At 35.0% G+C, this 21,124-nt stretch overlaps 1 protein-coding gene across 6 annotated transcripts in view, besides 1 other annotated feature; it reads right to left on the reverse strand.

Annotated features, from left to right (window-relative positions):
• The window catches only part of MARCHF1 (membrane associated ring-CH-type finger 1), an 859,722-nt gene that overhangs the window by 268,516 nt on the left and 570,082 nt on the right, over nucleotides 1-21,124 (reverse strand). The window lies entirely within an intron of this gene.
• Nucleotides 18,055-18,114: an enhancer, noted in NCBI's record as "active region_22106". NCBI's record gives its function as "activates an Ori minimal core promoter by ATAC-STARR-seq in GM12878 lymphoblastoid cells {active_cell/tissue: GM12878}" and the evidence as "EXISTENCE:reporter gene assay evidence [ECO:0000049][PMID:35858748]".

Below are 21,124 nucleotides of genomic sequence, written 5' to 3' on the forward strand. Positions count from 1 at the left end.
GAACCCAGGGAGGAAATAAACCGTAGGACGAAATGTGAAGCAGGGAAAAAACACTGGCCTGGGAACCAGGGGCTCCAAGCTCTGAATAGACCCAGGCTCTATTGCTTTGTAACTTTTTGAACTAAAGCACAGAAAAGTGCTGAAATTTCTCTGTCTCCTCTCTAAAGCGAATCTTCCTTTCCAGAGTCCTTGGAGGACTGAATGCAGTGGTGCATATAAACAACTTAACTCCGTGTCTGACATATAGCAGACGTTAAATAACTTTCAGTTTCTCTCCCTATCTATACACACCCAAGTTATTTTTTAAGTTAAAATGGAATAAAAAATGTTATTCCTAAATGAAAAGTAGAAATAAACAGGCAAAAATGTCATCTCACTCTAGAGATGCAAGTTGCCACGGCAATGCAAATATCATCCTACTATTCTCTCTAGTTAGGTAGTAACAGGAATATGTTTTACCTACTGAAAACAGCATTTAGAAAAGTCTCGGCGTTACTAGCATTGGTGGATTTTTATAAAATCACTTCTTGGGAACTGGATCTAGCCCAAGGCCTGTAATTCTCTTCAGTTGGGAAACAAAGATAGGGCCTCAAAGGAAGGATTTCTCCAATTGTGAGATTTTCCTTACCCTCCCTTGAAACACTAATCAGGATATTTCCTGGCTTCAAAGATAAATTACATTTTCGTGATAGATTGAAAGAAGCGGGTACAAAGTGTTTGGTCATACTAAGGGAGGAGACCACCCCTCATATTGTCTTATGCCCAATTTCTGCCTCCAAAGAAAGAAGAAGTAAAAACTAAGAGGCAGAAATGAAATCCACAAGCAGACAGCCCGGCGCCATACCCTGGGCCTGGTAGTTAAAGATTGACCCCTGACCTAATCAGTTATGTTATCTATAGATTACAGACATTGTACAGAAAAGCACTGTGAAAATCCGTGTCCTGTTCTGTTCTGTTCTAATTACCGGTGCATGCAGCCCCCAGTCACGTACCCCCTGCTTGCTCAGTCGATCACGACCCTCTCATGCAGACCCCCTTAGAGCTGTGAGCCCTTAAAAGGGACAGGAATTGCTCACTCAGGGAGCTTGGTTGTTGGAGACGTGAGTCTTGCCGAAGCTCCCGGCTGAATAAAGCCCTTCCTTCTTTAACTCGGTGTCTGAGGGGTTTTGTCTGAGGCTTGTCCTGCTACAATACTATCAAGTTCAGTATTATATTTTCTTTCTAAGTACTTTTTGAAATAAATGTGTCACTTATGCAAATTGTTGAGAATAGGCTCTGTGAGGGAACTGCTTAAGGACAACTATTTGTACTACATTTTAATCACTAATAAATCAACTGAGTAGCAGATGTGGTACAGAATACTGTGATTCCAGCTAACATCAGTGTATGAGATGTGTATTTCCTTCTCCTGTTTTGTGGATTACTGAAATTATGTATGTTCCCTACATATTCTGCATTCTCCTATCAATATAATCCCTCTTGGCTGAATTCTCAAGTTTTATTTTCTAAAATATTGCTGTTTTCTGAAAGAATTGCTTGAGCAAGTATATAATTTTCAACTGTGCCTTTTCATAATAAAAATCTGGTGGTTTTGCAAAGTTCCTAACACATTAAATAATACATTTGTATTGGCAAATAAAAAGTATAACACAAACTTATTATGTAATAGGACAGTAATTCTCTAAAAACTTACAAATACAGAAGCACACATACATGAGCATAGATAAGACCAGAATGTATGTAACAACATTCACAGTGTCTGAAATTGATGGTGGGGGGTCACAGGGCTTTTTATTCATTTCTGCCTATTTCCTATATTTTCCAAATTTTCTGCATTAACCATGTATTACATCTTATGTTAAAATGTATTTTATTGTTAAACAGTGAATAACTATCAGCACAAATTCTATACATATAATTATAAAACATCCTGGGTTTTACTTGTTGATTCTACAGAGATCTGAGCCTCAAACTTATACTATGTGAGCTTTAAAAAATTTTATTTTGAAACAGAACACATGAACATAAAATGCATATAAATATATTTCTGGATTAAAAATAATAAAACAAACATTTTAAAATCCCCCACCAAAACTGAGAAATAGAACATTAAATCAGCACTTGGAATCCTGCCTCCCCACCTTGCTCTATTTCCAATCTGTCTTGACTATTCTTCACCTATTTTCTTTCTATACATACTTTAGATTCAGTTTATCATTTTTAAGGAAAATCTCTGTTGATTGGAATTGAATTGTATCTATAAATCAAATTCATAAAAATGTCAATTTGTGAAATTGATTTATCCTAATCAATCACATTTAGTCTTCTTTCAGTGTCTTTCAACACAAGTTTATAACATGCTGCATAGATGCTGCACATCTTTGGTTGGATTAATTCCCAGACATCTTAATGGTATTTTCTTTCTTTTTTTTTGAGATGAAGTCTCACTCTTGTTGCCCAGGCTGGAGTGCAATGGTGCAATCTTGGCTCACTGCAACCTCTGCCTCCCGGGTTCAAGAGATTCTCCTGCCTCAGCCTCCTGAGTAGCTGGGATTACAGGCGCACACCACCAGGCCCAGCTAATTTTTGTATTTTTAGTAGAGATGGGGTTTCACTATGTTGGCCAGGCTGGTCTCGAACTCCCAGCCTCAGGCAATCCACCTGCCTTGGCCTCCCAATGTGCTGGGATTACAGGCGTAAGCCACCATGCCCAGCATCTTAATGATATTTTCTAACTAATATTTACTTGTATGGAAATGCAATTTTGTTACAGTGTTCATACTTTTGTAACTTTAATTTTTCTCTTGAACTGTCTGTCATTTCCCGGCAGAAATGTTTTAAATATTTTCCATTATGATGGGGATTTATAAATTACTCCATGTAATAATGTCTAATTTTGAAAGTTATTTAATGTACTGTTGACCTTTGAACAATGTGACAGTTGGGGCACTGGCCCCCACATGTAGTCAAAAATTTATGTATAACTTTTGACTCCCCAAAAACTTAACAACTATAGCCTACTGTTGACTGGAAGCCTTACAAATAACATAAACAGTTGATTAAGACATATTTTGCACATTATATGTATTATATATGGTATCTTACAATAAAGTAAGCTAGAGAAAATAAAATGTTATTAAGAAAATCCCAAGCAAGAGGGAATACATTTACTATTCATTAAATGGAAGTGAATCATCATAAACGTCTTTATCCTCGTCTTCACATTGAGTAGGCGGAAGAGGAGGAGCAAAAAGAGGGGTTGGTTTTGCTGTCTCAGGAGTAGCAGAGGCAGAAGAAAATCTGCATTTCAGTGAACCCAGGAAGTTCCAAGTTGTGTTGTTCAAGGGTCAATTGCATATAAATATGTAAATGTGTGACTATATACTTCCAGAAAAGTGAAACTTCTAGTTTTTTTTTTTTTTTTTTTTTTTGAGACAGAGCCTGGCTCTGTCACACAGGCTGGAGTGCAGTGGCACGATCACAGCTAACTGCAACCTCCGCCTCCCAGGTTCAAGTGATTCTCCTGCCTCAGCCTCCCGAGTAGCTGGGATTACAGGTGTATGCCACCATGCTCGGCTAATTTTTTTGTAGAAAATTGCAACTTTTATAAGTATGTAGTCAAGCTTTCTCTCTAGCAATGAATTTTGGCTTAATGTCTAATTCATGTGTTGTTATTATAGACACATCAGTTTGATTTGTTCTCTTTTTTCCAGGAGCAGAGGAAGAATAGAGGGGTAGTATTTGCTTTACCTACTTAAAAAAGCACAACACTATATTTATTTTTTCATACAGTCTGATATTTTTTCTCTTTTAATTGGTGAGTATAATGCATTCATATCAATTATGATTATTTTGGACTTCTCCCCATCATTGTTCTGGGATTATTTTGAATTGTTCTTTCCCCTATTCTGATGTTTTTTTTCCCACTATTTTGGTAATTATATTCATTAGGCTTATTTTTAGTAATTATATAGCTTTTAACCTGCATACTTAATAACATATGCAGAATATCAAAATACTCACCCTCATCCTGAATTATAAATGTCCTAAGAGTGCTTTAGATCTGACTGCATCTTACGATTCTTATGCCAGCTTTGTCTAATATGTTGGATCTACTTATTCTTAACCCCACAAAATAAGTATTGATATCATTATTTTAATTTTTACTAATTTCTTATATCTCAAACCTTCTACTTAGAATTAATTTTCAATAACCAGAGACATATCTTATAATTTGTTTTCAGAATGGTCTGTTGGTAATAAACTCTGGTAAATTTCCAATCTTTTTTTTTCTTTTTCTCTTTAATTCATTTTATTTTTGAGCTGCATTTCACATTTGCTAAGTTGCATGGGATTTTTCTCTTTATATATTGAGTATATATTTATATTGCTCTCAGGTTTCTGTTCCTGCTATCAAGAAGTTGGTAGTCCTTTGTAAGTGATCTGTCTTTTCTCTGTAGATACTTTTAAAGATTTTTTTGTCTTTGGTATTATGTACTCTCAGTGTGATACGGTGTGTATGTGTGTGTGTGTGTGTTTATGTGTGTGTGTGTGTGTGTGCTTATTCCATGTGAGATTTTTTGGGCTTCTTGATATGGAGTTGGTATTTTCAACAATTCTTGAAGTTGCCAAATATTATCTCTTCAAGTATTGCCAGATTTCCTTTCTCTCTGTTATTTCCTTCTAGAACTCAGGATAGATTGGTATATATTAGACATGTTCATGTTATTCTTAGTTTTAATTAACATCTCTTTTATCATTTACATTAATTTTGCTCTGTACTACATTTCAGATATTTGGTTTGATACTCCAGTTCACTAACTTTTTGAGCTGCATTTAATCTGTTCTTTAACTTGTCTATTTTAAAATTTCATTTATTATTTTTATTTATTTCTAGAGTTTCATTTGATTCTTTCCAAGTGTGTTGGTCTTTTAGAAAATCCATTCTTATTTATCCACAATTTATACTTTCTATAATATATTATTGTTATTCAGTATTCTATGCCCAATAATTTCAACATTAAGTATTTTTGAGTCTAAGCCTGCTGTTTCTTTTCTCTTGTTTTCTGCTCACACTCATGTTAGAGCTTGTATATTTGTGTTTGTGTGTCTGTAATTTTCAACTCTAAGCTCATGTTTCTTAGAACTTTAATTCAGAAGTTTTTAAAGGCCATTGTTAAAGGTACAGTCTTCAAGACAGGATATGTGTTTGCACTTAGGGGGTGCTATGGACTGAACTGTGTCTTCCTCACATTCATATATCAAAACCCTAATCACCAATGTGGCTTATATTTGGATATAAGGCTTTAGGGAAATAATTAAGGTTAAATGAGATCATGAGTATGGAACCTGATCCAATAGGAACACGTGCCTTATACAAAGAGAAAGAAAGAGAAATGTCTCTCTCTCTCTTCCCTCCAGTGTACAGAGGAAGAACCATTGTGAGGATAAAGCAAGAAGACAACCGTCTGCAAGCCAGGAAGGGAAACTTTATCAGAAAGCAACTGTGCTGGAACCCTGATTTTAGATTTTGTAGTCTTTAGAAAAGAAATAAAAATTATTTTTGTTTAAGCTACCCAACTTATGGTATTTTGTTATGGAAGTCTTAGCAGAATAAGACAGAGAGCATTATCAACATAATGTCTTTTTAAATTTGATTCTCATTTTGAAGGGTTTTTGCAGACCTGGGTTATATTTACAAGTTTTCAGGGCAAATGTGTTATGTCTCCATTAGGTGCCAAATTCTAATCAAGCAAGTTCATCCCCAAGTCATAGTTACACTCAAGATAGAGCATTCTGGGAAAGAGAAGTAATTGTTGAGTAGCCCTTCCTATCATGAATGGAAAGAGAAAACAAAAGAGTTGAAAATAGAAGTAAAAGTAAGAAAATACAGTGAAATGGATGGAATATTTAGTGAAACAAAGAAAAAGAGTGACAGCAAGGAAAGAGACAGAATTCTAAAAGGAGACCATAACAAGGGAATGGAAAAAAGGCTATAAAAAGTAGTACAAAGAGTAGGCACATCCCTAAGAGGATCAGTAATGGGTACATATTGAGCTACAAGAAGAAAAAGAAGGAAAGTTACTTATGTATAACTTCTAGCGCATGCCCGGCACTGTCCATGCATATTATCAATGTTAGTTCGTTTAGTCTTCTCAGTGGTGTTGTCAGGTAGATATTTTCATCTTCACAATAGCCCACTATTTGATATTTTCTGAATCTAAAGCTGCACTGTTAAAAATGGTAATAATGACTGCCACACATGGCTATTTAAATGAATAAAAAGTAAATAAAATGAAATTTAGAAAAATTAGAAAAATTTAGTTTCTTATCTGTACTGGCTACGTTTCAAGTGTTCAGTAGCTGCATGTGGCTAGCAGCTCCCTATCTGGATAGTGCGGACTGAGAGCATTTTCAGTATCACAGAGACTAGCAGGCCAGCATTTATCTAATGTGGTTCTTCAAAGAAATTCTTAATAAATAATTTCTTACAATTCTGGCAAGGTATTGTATCTAGATGTTCCTTAATTTGCAAGTTTTATGCATAGAAGAATATACATCTTATAGCAAGCTTGCTAAAAGTGTTTAGCGTACTATTTAAAAAGTTAATATAATGTCTTCAAATACTTGAAAGGCAAGAATAATTTAAATAAATTTAATTTTTTGCTAAATCAGGCAAGTGTGAACTAGCATGTAAAAAGGCATATAAGCTTAAGTGATCTGAGACGTAATAAAAAACAAATACACACATATACCCACTTACAAATATTTGACAGTTCTCAACAAGATTCCGGAGAAAAGTTAATTCCTTCAAAACATACAATATCTTTATAGGGCTTAAAAATAAGACAGTAACCATTATTTTTTTCCTTAATGATGAAGAATTCAATAAAGAAAAGTAATATATCCAGTAATAGGATTTCTCAGTTGAATGGTCCAGACTGCTTTCCACAATGGCTGAACTAATTTACACATGTACCCAAAAGAAAACAAATCATTCAACCAAAAAGACTCATGTACTCCTACATTCATCGCAGCACTATTCACTATAGCAAAAACATGAAATCAACCTAGCTGACCATAAATGGTGAACTAGATAGAGAAAATGTGATACATAGATACCATGGAATAGTATGCAGCCATAAAAAGAATGAAATAATGTTCTTTGCAGTAATACATATGCAGCCGGAGGCCATTATGCTAAGTGAATTAATGCAGGAACGGAAAACCAAAAACTGCATATTCTCATGTATAAGTAGAAGCTAAACAATGAGTAATCATGGACATAAAAGATGGCAACAATAGAAACTGGGAACTACTAGGGCTGGGAACAAGGGGTGAAAAACTAGCTCTTGGGTACTATGATTATACCTGGGGAATGGAATTATTTGTACACCAAATTTCAGCATCACACAATATAGCCAAACCTATACATGTACTCCTTGAGTCTAAAATAAAAATCAGAAAAAGGAAATGTAATAGTTTTAACCTGATGTTTTAATTTTTATTCTAAACATTTAATTATATATTATTATTAATTATAACGAGTATCTTCCCTCATTTAAGTGGCACATGTGTTGTTCTTTCAACATTTTTTTGCTTTGCTACTTTATGATATTAAAATATCTAATGTATAATTCCAAAGAGTATTTTTCTTTTTACTTTTAACTTTTAAATCAAAGTTAAGAGCTTTTAAGGGATACTTAAAGTAGCTCCCTCCCATCTCCTCTCTGTATATTTAAACACAGAGAATTCTGATGACAATAAAAAGATACATAAACAAAATTGTATGGTATTTTCTATGACAAAATATATTTGACTTCCTTTTCACTACGTTTAAGCAAGAAACAACAAAGTATCATCTGGTACAGAGGCTTTAGAAAATTATTATGTCACACTTTACTTTTCAAACTGATTGTTCAAAAAGAAAGTCTTCAGACTGTACAGAACATCAAGAATCATTACAAGAGGAAAATGCAAACCTTTTAAAGGAAAAAATCATTGTAAACTTCCATCAGGGGAAAGACACTGGGCAAGATGTTGTCAGCGTCTCTAAACTCCAGAGGACAAGGCCAACTCTTACATCAGCGAATAAATAGATAATAACTGAGAAGTTCAAGGTGTCTCTAAAATCAATTATTTTCCTCTTAAATCCTGTCAACTATCTTAAATCCTGTAGACTACCATGAACTGAAATACTCATGGGAAGAACACCAAGTACTAAATCTGTTCATGTCTATAACTGGCATTCACAGAAAACTGTCTCTAACTTTATTCTTTCTTTTGGCAATTCTTAAAGAATTGGTGATATCATCATGACGGCACTCGGGAGTTGGAGGAAGAACAAAGATTGTGCTTTGTTGCTTAACGACACCATTCCTCTACCCATCCAAACCCACAACTTTGTATCTTAGCTATTCTTTTTACCAAGAACTTATAAAGGATGAATCCTAAATTTTCTGTTTTTAGTCATAGAAAATCCATAAATTTATGACCACAGTAGGGTCTCATTAAAAATCATCCAAATGCCAAGAACAGAATGTAATACTTTATGCACCAGTTCTTGAAAAAAAAATCCCTAGACACCTATCTACAAGTTTTCTGAAATTCTTTAAGTAAACTCTGATTTTGGTTCTATTTAGAAGACACTATGTCTAAATACTCCGGAATGTGCTACGGAAATACTTTGAATTCCACACAGTGATTTTTTACTTAATTTTTATTAAGGTATATCATAACATCAGTAATGTGTACTAATCTTAAGTATAAAGCACAATGAAATTTTACATTCCTATATACCATCTGTGCACCCAGATTAAAATATGCACCATCTTCCCCACCCTAATATGATTTTCCCCTTCCCAGTCAATTCCTCTTCCTAAGAGGTAACTACTAGTGAGACTTCCATCACCTTCCGTTAATTTTGCTTGTTTTAAAATTTCATACAAATAGAATAACAATAAACACACTTTGTGTATCTGGCTTGTTTCATGCAAACTTAGGTTTTGAGTTTCATCCATGTTGTTGCCTATATAAGTTCTTTTTCAAATTTCTGGTAAGCATTGAGTATATCGTTTATCAGTTGGGGTGTTTATTTTTTTCACCCAAGAGAGAAATTTTTACTTTTAAAATTTCCGTTGTTTTGGGGGTGGGGAACGCTAAATGTTTTTGATTAGACCTCTGATTCCGGAAATCTCACAGACTTACAGATTTGACAATCCTATTTCAGGAAACTGTTGAAGCATCAATGATAGTTCTTTGCAGAGTTTTGATAGACTTCTCATTCAATTCAACATGTCACCTTCAAGTTTCTCTAAATTTTCCTCTGAATCCATCCCTCAAAAAGTTAAGAATGTCACCATTCTTAGTGGTGACATTCTTAGTAGTAGAAACGCACCCTCAACATGCCAGAGTCTATCCGGTATCAAAGCTATGACACATTGTTGTCATCTGTGTTTTTCCCCACTAAACCAAAAAGGTGGGCCTATATATTTTTTCACTTTAAATTGCTAATGTGGAGATCTCTGCTAGGTACAAAGCAGACACTCAGAAATATTAAAGTGATATGGTAATAAAAGTCAAACACATTTCAAAAGCCTGTAATTTACTTCATATTTTATGATTTTAATTCATTAATATGTTGAATGGTTGTATTTTTAGATTACTATGGCTGTTTGTGTATTTTTAGAAAAGTAACCATTCCCTTTTTAATCCTCAAGCAGCTTTTGCTGTAACTGCAGTGTTTTTTACAGGAGGCTTTTTAAGAGGTTTTCTGTATCCGAGAGAAAATATATGAAATTGGAAAGCAAAGGTAACTTTGAATGTACATTAGACATATTCGATTCTTGAGAGAAAATCATCAACCAAAATTTCACTTGACTGGCCCAGGGCTTATACTCTGTAACTTTGCACATATTGCTACCAGGGACTTATTGCATTTATAAAAGAAAGATAGATAACAAAATGTTGTTCTTTCCTGTGGTGAGAATGCTAAGCATAGATCAGTCAAGGTATCTAGGTGCTTTGTTCTAATCACAGTGAATGTTATGTTACAGAGAGTTATTATCCTGACTATTCTAATAGTGATTTAGAACTTTGCTTTCACATCGCAGAAATGACTTCTGATGGCACACTCAAATGATAAAAAAGGTACTCATTCACTATCTGACTCACCCTTATCAAGCCTCATCCTAAAGAGTTTCCTCTGACTCCCTATATATTTAAATCTGTTGAATTCTTGCTGAAATACACTGGTTGGAATTTCTGGAAGGAGCAGTTCACACGGTTACACACATCATTGGGAAGTTATTTGTGACTATTTTAAAATAATATTGTCTCAATGTAAAACATATTATTATTATTATTAATTGTTTTTTTGAGATAGAGTTTCACTCTTTTTGTCCAGTCTGGAGTGTAATGGCCTGATCTCAGCTCACTGCAACCTCTGCCTCCCGGGTTCAAGTGGTTCTCCCGCCTCAACCTCTTGAGTAGCTGGGATTACAGGTGTGCGCCACCACGCCTGGCTAATTTTGTATTTTTAGTAGAGACGGGGTTTCGCCATGTTGGCCCGGCTGGTCTTGAACTCTTGAGTTCATATGATCCGCCCACCGGGGCCTCCCAAAGTCCTGAGATTATAGGCATGAGCCACTGCCCGGCTGTAAAACATATTATTACGGAGTATACTCATTCACCATCCTGAATCCATAGGTGTCTTTAAACTTTGCATTTTAATTAAATGCTTTAGCTTTGCAAGCATATTCTCTTTCATGTAATACTATGTACACAGCTCAAGCATAGTGCCCACTTGAGATTATGATATTGATAATAAAAGGTAGTAGGGATTTTTACCTAGAGCTAAAGTCAGTTATTTTTTTCTCTCACTGTAATGATCTTTTGCATCTTTTGATTTCAATTCCATGTGGATTTGGAGAGGAAAAAAAAAAGGAAAATACAGTGTTTGATCCCAATAGTCAAGAGTATACTTTGGCAAAATATTTCTATATCGGTATATTCTTAAAGTTACACAAATATAAGACCATCTTAGAAGAATTGCTTGAAATCACTTGTAAACCAAGCACTGAATTTCTGACTTCTGCAGCTGAAACAACAGCTGCTTCAAAGAGCATGCTTCTTAAGACATGTGACATGGCAGGCATGTTTTTATTTATTTATTTTTCGCAGTATACCCTTTCTTTTCTAGACAAGTTAAGGCTTAAGGTTCACTCTTGACTGAGAAAAAATAATTCTTGAGAAGCAGCTCTTGAGTCAAATAGATCACAGTGAAATGATCTGTTAAAGAACTGTCATTATAGAACTACAACAAGACTACTCATAGACATCTTCACTTGCTAATAAAACCATATTCCCACAAGCCTCTCACATTTTCATAATAAGCAACCACCATCTAGAGACATGGTTCACTTTAGAACTCAAAACAGAAACTTTTAAAAAGCAAGCACACCAAATACCTCCATTTTTGAGCCACAGCCAATTTCCTACAGCACTGGCTTTCTAAATGTGGTTCTCAAAACAGCATTAATATCATATGGGAACTTCACAGAAATGCAAATTCCCAGGCTCCATCCCAGACCTACTAAAAGACTCCTGGGCTGGGGACAAATGATACTTTTTAACAAGCTCACTGGGGGATTCTGATGCACACAAAAGTTTGTAAACCACTGTTCAATAGAAATATTGAACTAAAAGAATATGAAAATATCTGGAAGAAGACTCAGTGGTCTATAAGTAAACTCTATATTAAGCAGAATCACCAGACTAAATCAATGTTTGTCACCTCTTGTGAGAAAAATAAAAGACCAAATACGAGAAGTTTTATCTCTGAGAGACCTACAGCTGTAATGAAATGACATTCCATGCAAAGCTGAATCAATCATCCATAGAATAGAGAGCCAAAATTTATGCAAATGCCTACTAGTGGGTGCATTAAAACCATAAAACTGTAGAAATGACTTCACTTGCACCTCACCATTTTTCACGGCATTCCCTTTTAGACATCTCTCTCACCTGTCTTCATTTGCACCCACATGTACTACTCTCATTGTTCTTAGTCTCCTGTGTTTCAAATTCCTCACTTAAAAGACAGCTTTTGAAAATTTCAGTGATTGCAATCTCGAAATGAGACTACAATAAAGTTATGTACTCCTAAGATGCTCTTAAATAGTTTATTTTTTTCATCTTTGGATAATGGCTCCCATACATTAGCTACCTGCATAATCCATGAAGGCAAGATAGAATTCTGTATATATGATATATATACATATGTACCCACATGTTTTAAGAGTCAAGTGTTTGGAAAACTATAAGCTTCTCCTTAACCTGTATTGATATTGATTAGAATTATTTTCTAAAATTAAGAGCCCTATACCTACCTGTAAATCTTTTCACATATCATTTAAACGTTGTATTATTATTGTTAATTTACAGCTTAGTTATTAATTTTTCTTTATAAGAATGCCATAATTGTGCATGCTTTTATGTTTTTCAGAAATGGATGTGTTTGGATGAAAGTAAAAGAAATAAAATATTTCACTGTCTCTAAAAAAAAAACATTCAACAAGTTTATAGTTGATACAAGATTAAAAAATGAGTTTTAAGAGACATGAATGCAAAAAACTTTAAACTCAAAACCAAAATGGTAGCAAAGCAAAATTTGGCATGGCACTTTTGAGCCCCAAACATTAAATTTAGCTTGTCCTACTGCACAGAAGTAGCAGCATGAAAAATAACAAGTGCTAAATGTTAAATTTTAATTTGATGTTCCTGAATGAAAGTAAACATGTGAGAACATCAGGCTCCAACGATAGGCCATTATGCTCCAAATTTTCCTTATGTTGTAGAAGACACAGATTTGAAGTGATTGTACCATATTGCCTCTTTAAAAATGCAGACCTTGGTGTATTCCATGCCACAACATTAGTTGCTCTGACACGATAAAATAATTATGATCAATGCTGTGGATTTCAATGGTCACGATATCTACACAAACACTAGGCTCAGCTGCAGAATCCCCTCTTCTCTTGTTCTCTTACCTTTGCCAAAATACTCTACCCCAATTTTTTTGTGAGGACTCAAGGATTCTCCTTCTTTTGTCAGCATATTAGACATCTTGATTCTCCAGAGATCTTAATTCTAGTTTCATTCTATCCACTATCTCAGGGAAGATATCCTCTACACTTGGATCTGCCTGTTCTTCAGAGGATGGTTGGATTTTCTGTTAGTTCATGCACTAAACTTATCAAGGAGGAGTTGTGTTCTTATTAGGTGCAGGCCTGAAGCATCAAGGTGTAGGTTTAATTTAGAAGTTTCACAATAAGAACTCAATTATTGGGAAATAAACATGCTGTTTTCTCCCAAACAACATTATAAGCAATACAGTCAAAGTGCTAATCACCATCTGTCTGACATCCTTCTTTTATTTCTCAGTTGGCTCCACATTCTGGGTAAGAGGGACTAATGGGAGGAATGGGAGCATGATTAGGAACCCTCATAAATCTCAAAAAAGGAAACAAAGTCAAACTGAACACTGAAGGAAAGTCTCATCTGAAAGACTCTCATCTCAGTGCCAATCCCTTTCTTTCCACCCAGCTTCTTTTCTTTTCTTGTTAATTGCGGGAATCTTACCCTTTTGGATAAATTACTTCCCTCCCACTCTAGCCATGTGGCTCCAGTGGGGGCTGCTAATACTGGTACCCATCTCTCACCTTGGCCACTGGAGTTAAGTAAACCATGCTGTGACAACTTACAACCTTTATTAAGAATATTTTATTGGGGAGGGGTTTACTTTCAGGTGGCAAAGCTGTGAAAATGTGAATGGCTGGTCACCACTTCCCAAGCTCAAGGAGAAAAAGAAGCTAGCATGCAAGAAAAAGTGATGGGAAAAGCATCCTGGTGGCATCCAGTCCCAGCTACTCTTTTCCCAAGTTAAAAGGTTTCCATTCTCACTTTTATGGATCAATAAACCTGCCCACCTTAGTCCAAAACAGTGTGATCGCTCATGATAGAAAAAAAATTCCTGACTAATGAAACATTGCTCAACCAACTACATTCCAGATGGACTAGACAGATAAATGTGAAAAAAAAGTACTAAAAAATGTAGCAGAAAGAAAAAATGTACACTTAACAAATCTCAGGATCAAACGAAATTTTCTAAGCTTAAAATTAGAAGATGCCACAAAAGAGTATCAGATAAAATATGCAAAATAAATAGCAGAAACTTCAGTTTGTCAAAAATCCGAAACAAAATAATAATTGGATCAAAACACAGCACAATATTTGCTGAAGTTTTCACAAAGGGGATACTTTGTAAAATGCTTATAAAATTGGTGAAGAGGAGCACGGAAGTCTCCAGTAGTAAAATGGGTCAATATATAAACAATTTACTATGAGGAAAACATAAATGACTAAAAAACATTTTAAAAATTTATCACTGACAAAAAGAAATGCAAAATGAATTATAACCTTTAGTCAAATGTTTATATACTGTGTATACAGACATACATTTGAAATGAATATTTATACTCTTTCTATGGGTATGTAAATTGCTGTTTTGGAAGCAACTTAATACTTTTTCCGAAGAGGCTTTTACAATCTTCATCACATTTATTGTCTTATCATTTCATTTTTTGAAATTTAGTTTAAGAAAATAATTCACAATTACCAGAAGAATTCATATGGCTAAATATGTTTGTAAAAGTGACAAAGTAGAGGTAATTCAAATATATTACAATAAAGGGCATTGTTAAATAAAATTTGGCACATCCATTTAATAAGTATGTTTTGCTATTAAAATAATGCTAATGAAAATTTATAATGAACTTATAAATATGCATCTGTTTCAATGTAAAGAAGAAAAGTATAATACTTCACATATAAAATTATTTTCACTAAATAAAAATACATATATAACAAATAATGAAGTGAAATATACCCCCAAATATGGTGGTAAATAATTAATTCTGAGTAGTGAAATCATAGGTTTTTTTTTGTTGTTTGCTTGTTTCTTTTGCCTCTTATACGTTTCTGTTTTCTCCAAGAAGTGTTAATTACCTTTATTATAAAATTGTTATATGTAAAGGTTTAACACTTTGCTAATAGTATTTTTTAGACTTGCTTCTGAATTACAGAATTGGCTCTTTAGTGATTGATCTGGGTAATCACAGTACAAATCAGGCTCTGCCTTTATATTTTCTTGCCTCACTCCTACACATATTTCATGCACTGCTACCTTTCTGTTGTGCTATTTTGTGACACAATATTTTGAGAGAAAACAATTACTTACACGCAGATACTAAGTGACATTAGTTTATCTCCAACTAGGCAATGTAACTGCAACAAAACCCCCAGCTAACCAAAACCCAATAATAACTTCTGCTCACATAAAATGAAATGTCAATTTCACTAATCACATGCTGTCTGGAATGTCCGTTCTCCATGGTAACTACCTGGCTTTCCTGGATAAGCATTTCTGATTCAAGTACACAACTGGCAGGCCTGCCCCAGCTTAACTGACCTAGTTTGGTGAAAGTTCTGCAGCCTGAATTTGATATGCCACTGCTAAAATAAAATTTCAAATGTAAGTTAAAATGCCTTTTCAATGAATGTTTTTGAATTTTAATATTGGTTAACACGAGTGTTTTTAGAGTCAGAAAAAGCATAGGTAAAATGAGTACAAATGAGGCCTGTGCTCCAGAAATAGTAATGTGAGGGGAAAGACACATGAAAATGCATTGTATTTTATTTTTATTTTATTTTTTGAGACAGAGTCTCCCTTTGTCACCCAGTCTGGAGTGCAGTGGCGTGATCTCGGCTCACTGCAACCTCCACCTCCTGGGTTCAAGCCATTCTCCTGCCTCAGCCTCCCAAGTAGCTGGGACTACAGGCACCTGCCACCATGCCTGGCTAATTTTTGTATTTTTAGTAGAGGCAGGGTTTCACCACGTTGGCTAGGCTGGTCTTGAACTCCTGAGCTCAAGTGATCCACTCACCTCGGCCTCCCAAAGTGCCGGGATTACAGGTCTGAGCCACCGTGCCCGGCCTGGAAATGCATTTTAAGTACACGTTAGTATTTGAGGAGAAAATAAGATATGTTGCTTGAGTAGTTGTCAGACGAGACTGTCTCGTCTATTTCATACAGAGTTGGGGTTTCAAACGCCAGCACCACCTCTACCACCTCATCTCAAACAGTAGGTCCTCTCTTCCTCCTTTTGCCTTTCCTCACCGCTTGCATCTTTGCAATTGATTCCCGGCTTTCATTCCACCTTTCCACTCTTATTTTATCTAATCCTCTCCTGTAAATAACAATCAACAACACACGATTTTAAACTTTAAAATGCTTTGGTATTGTTAAGTCAATTAATAAATATTCCCTGGGAAGTTTTAAACAAGGGTCATAATTTGTGTAAGACCAGCATAGCTATGGGTTATGCAAAATAGCTTACTAATAGTAAGAAGAAAAACCTTTTACCAGAATTTATTTTACAAACCAAGAGGTTTGAGAAAAATCCAGCTGAGACCTCAACTTCTAATCCACTCTGCTGTGACATTTGCATTTTATAATGGCATCTATAATATTTCACACTTCTATTTATCTCAAAATAGCATCCTAGTCATAAATACCATTTCTGCCCATCTCTTTGGTAAGAGAAAATTTCCACAAGGATTGAAAATGTTAAATTGCTATTTGCTTCACCCTCTACTATTATGAAGTCCTCCATGATTTCAGAATAAGTCAGAGGAAAAGGTCACAATTTGTATTAAAAGCCAGAACTGCATGAGGCAAATAGTATCTGCTGAGGATATTATTGTGTGCAAAAGATAGAATTTCTTTTGTCTACTTTCCTTTTTTATAACATATATCATGTATATTATATACATATACATGTATTTACACATACATGTAAAAGTCAAGTACACACACAAATATATTTATGTGACCAGCTTTTAGTCACACTAAAGATATTTTTAAACAAAAACAAAATTTAAAATGTTAAGAACTGAGTTGTATCATCTAAATAATGAAGAAATAGAAAGAAGAAATATTATAGATTTTTAATGAGGTTTATCATCTTATACTATAATCTTTCAGATTCAGTAACTACCACAAAACTTTTTTTTCCTGTCTTAGAATTTTCTTTGGTACTGTATCCTGTAAATGGTGCCATTTGAAAAGTTCTAAGCAAATGTTATCAGAGAGGGAGACACTGACAGTTGGAATTCTTGACCACCAAGATACAACTGGGAAAGACCGATGCAAGGTGCCCGACAATAAACAAGCCTCTAGGACTAACCTTGTAAATTTGGATTCTATCCTTGGTGTAGATAACTGAGATTGCTGTTGTACAAAATAAAGTGAAAGAGGAGGAAAATGAGGAAAGTTCAATGTATAAATCCATGGATGCCTACACTCTGGTCTGATTTAAGTTCTTTAGCAATGCTAAACTCAGAATGATAATGGTGTTTTCCACAATCTGTAACTCAATAATATTTTTTAAAATTATTAATCACAGATAAATTTTAGAATGGCCAACAACATTCATAACTTTCCCATGATGTTTGTTTTTACCTTCTTTTACAAAGTAGCAAATACAAACTTCTATCTAAAAATAATCAGGTTCTACTGCTTCACTGGGACCTAAGCAAGAAAGTCTATGGGTGAATCTATCTCTTCCTCCCTAGTCAGCAGTTCCTTGGGTTAACAATTGCTAGTTGCTTCCTGAAATTCTTCCACACTTCATTCATATGACAATAATTTCCATGATGATGTGACAAATTTTTTTAAGTTAAAATTATAATTGAAGTCCTCATCCTAAAAACAATCATTGAGAGTGCTGTTTAAATTTAAAATTAAGAATAACTAAGTAAAATTTTGATTTTCTTTTTATAAATGTGAAGTGTTAATGTTTTAATAAAATGTCTTTAATACTTTCTGCTAGTTTAGTAGAATATAACTAAGAATTAACAAGAATTTTAATGTAACTTCATCCATAGTCAAGAAGTCACGTTGAAGCCATTCCCTTCCATCCACCTTCCACAAAGCAGACTAATCATTAAATCTGCTTGAATAAACCTTTAAGCAATAGTGACTCAGATACTTCCGTCAATGCCAGGGAGTGGCTGGTGGTAAATATTGCTGTTCGTGAGAGGTACTTTTTGTTGTTGTTGTTAAATTTGGGTTAGCTTAAGAAGTTTCACTACAGTAAAAGGTGATCATAATGGAAACCTGTCAGTTTTTGCCTGCTTTTCCTTTCCAGGACACTACAGATAAGACCTTGAGCTTTTCATCTGTTCATATCTGGAGCTGCTTCTTTCTTGACTTTTTAAAACCCTCAGGATGTCTTTTGTCTAATTTTACAAACTCTGTTCTTATTTTATAAACTCTAATTTGTTCCGATTTTATAGACTGTTTTAAGATTTTTAGTGGCACTAAACATTGTTTAGTGGCACTAAACAATTTATTTTGTTTAGTGATACCTTAACTGCCAAAATATTTTGGTGATAGCTTAACTGCCAAAATAAAAGTTCCTAAATATTTTGTCTTAAGGAAACCAAAACTGCTGGGTGGACACTGTAGTGTGCACCTATAGTCCCAGCTACTTGGCAGGCTGAGAAGGGAGGATTGCTTGAACCCAGGAGTCCAAGGCCAGCAACATAGTGAGAAAGAAAAGAAAGGAAAGAGAGAGAGAGAAGGAAGGAAGGAAAGAAAAAGACCAAAATAGAGAAACGGAGAGCAGGAGGGAAATAAGGAATGGTAGAATCCAATTTCCGATGCCTTGGCTGAAAATGTATGTTGGCAGGAAGATGGAATTTCATTGAATTACAGATAAAATAAAGCTTACACAATTTTATTAGAAAAAAGTAGGCAGGCCTGATATTGAGAAAGCTTTACTATAATAGTAATGATTCAGATTTATTTAATGCTTACAGTTTACTAGGCCCTGTGGGTTACATAGATTATATCATTTCATATTCACAACAACTTAATAGAGCTCAGTGTGACATTAATTTTATGTGTCCACTTGACTGGGCCATGGGATGTCTTGATAGCCAGTTAAACATTATTTCTGAGTGTGTCTGCAGAGGGATTTCCAGGAGAGAACAGCATTTGAATTGCTAGACTGAGTATAGCAAATGACTCTCCCCAATGTGGTGGACATCATCTAATCTGTTGAGGGTCTGAACAGAATAAAAAGGTGTAGGAAAGTTGAATTTGCTCTGCCTGAATACTTGAGCTCAAATATTGATCTTCTGTCTTTGGTGCTCCTGGTTCTCAAGCCATCAGACCCTGGTGGGGATCTACACCATCAATATGGGCTTTCTTGGGTCCCCAGCTTGCAGTTCACAGATCCTGGGACTTCTCAGCCTCCATAATAGCATTAACCAATATCCTAAAATAAATCTCTTCATCTATATCTCTATATAATATATAGTTATATGTTATATATCAATAACATATATTATATATATAATACATCTCTTCCTATATATACATGTATACACATACATGTATACATATACACGTATATATACATATTGATTCTATTTCTCTGGAGAAACCCTGACTAATACATTCAGGTAGTTTTGGAAGCTGAGGCTTACATATATTCGGTATAAGTCCACAGTGTCTGATTCAAAACTTTTGAAACCAACGAGGCACAGTGGCTCACACCTGTAATCCCAGCACTTTGGGAAGTCAAGGCGGGTGGATCACCTGAGGTCAGGAGTTCGAGACCAGCCTGGCCAACATGGTGAAACCCTGTCTCTTCTGAATTTACAAAAATTAGTCAGGCGTGGTGGTGCACACTTGTAATCCCAGCTATCTGGGAGACTGAGGTAGGAGAATCACGTGAACCTGGGAGGCGGGAGTTGCAGTAAGCAGAGACTGTGCCACTACACTCCAGCCTGGGAGACACAGCAAGACTTCATCTCAAAATGACAACAACAAACAAAAAACAAACCAAAAAACCTAAACTTTTGAAACCAAATGAGCTTTGGAAGTCAAAATTTTTGTTTGTTATTTGATTTTAGAAAGTAATATGATAATTAACTATAGACTGTATAACATCACAACAGGGGATAGGACAATGCTACCAGTGAAACACAGAACTCTTCACACTAAGTGGGATACGTAAAGATTATATATGGTTCATGTCAGCTCAGAAGAGGTAGGGTATTATAGTTAAATGAGCTATAAAAGTCATTATGATTTTAGAGCTTTGTGGATTTAGGAATTATAGACTTATCACTGCTTGAATTTACATGACTGGTCATTGGTGAATTTGAGTCTTGAACACTGTGAAGCTGATTTCTCAGCTCATACACTTGCCACTGACACTTCCAGTGGTTTTCTGAAAGGATAATCCAAGAACCAGAGTGGAAAATAACCCTTATACTATCCATCATAGAGGTAATGGGTAGAGGAGCTAAAATTCAAACCCATATTTGTCTTAACTCAAAAATATTGACTCAACTCTCAGACTTTGATTTCAATTTCTTTGTATGTTAGTCAATGTCTTGCCTCAATTCTGCCAAACTATTTTATTATCCTGGTTGGTTGTCTCTAAATAATAATTACTCATGACACTCTCCTTCCACCCTCAGATTTCCTCAGGACAATGCACAGCATGAATTTTTGGGTAACACAACCAGAATGCTATATTAGAATATTACACACATCTGACTTCTACAAAGCTTCCTGTCATCAATTGTATTTAAGAGGAAATTAAAGAACAAAAACTGAAGTTATATCTGCTCATATTTGAATACATAAATTACCTTCATTTACTGAATTTTTAATATACAAGATCCTAAATATTAAGCAGCATCTGTCAAAAATAAAACTATAAAGTGAAGAAATGAGTTGCAAATACTATACATCCTAGACACCAGTAAGTAATATAGTTTAAAAAAACATTTCTAGCATGACTCTAAAATTGTTTGCGGCCGATATGGTGTTGGGAGAAGCTGAGTGTTGGGAGAAGCTGAGGCAGGGCTTGCATGTCTGACATAACGTAAAAGAGTCTTGGAACATGTCTGGGGTCCAGGGTCTAAAACCCCTCATGGCCTTTGGAACACCAAGCTCTATGCCAAAGGGTGGAAGGCTGTCCTG

This window comes from Homo sapiens, chromosome 4 (assembly GCF_000001405.40).
Source record: "Homo sapiens chromosome 4, GRCh38.p14 Primary Assembly".
Taxonomy (NCBI): domain Eukaryota; kingdom Metazoa; phylum Chordata; class Mammalia; order Primates; family Hominidae; genus Homo; species Homo sapiens.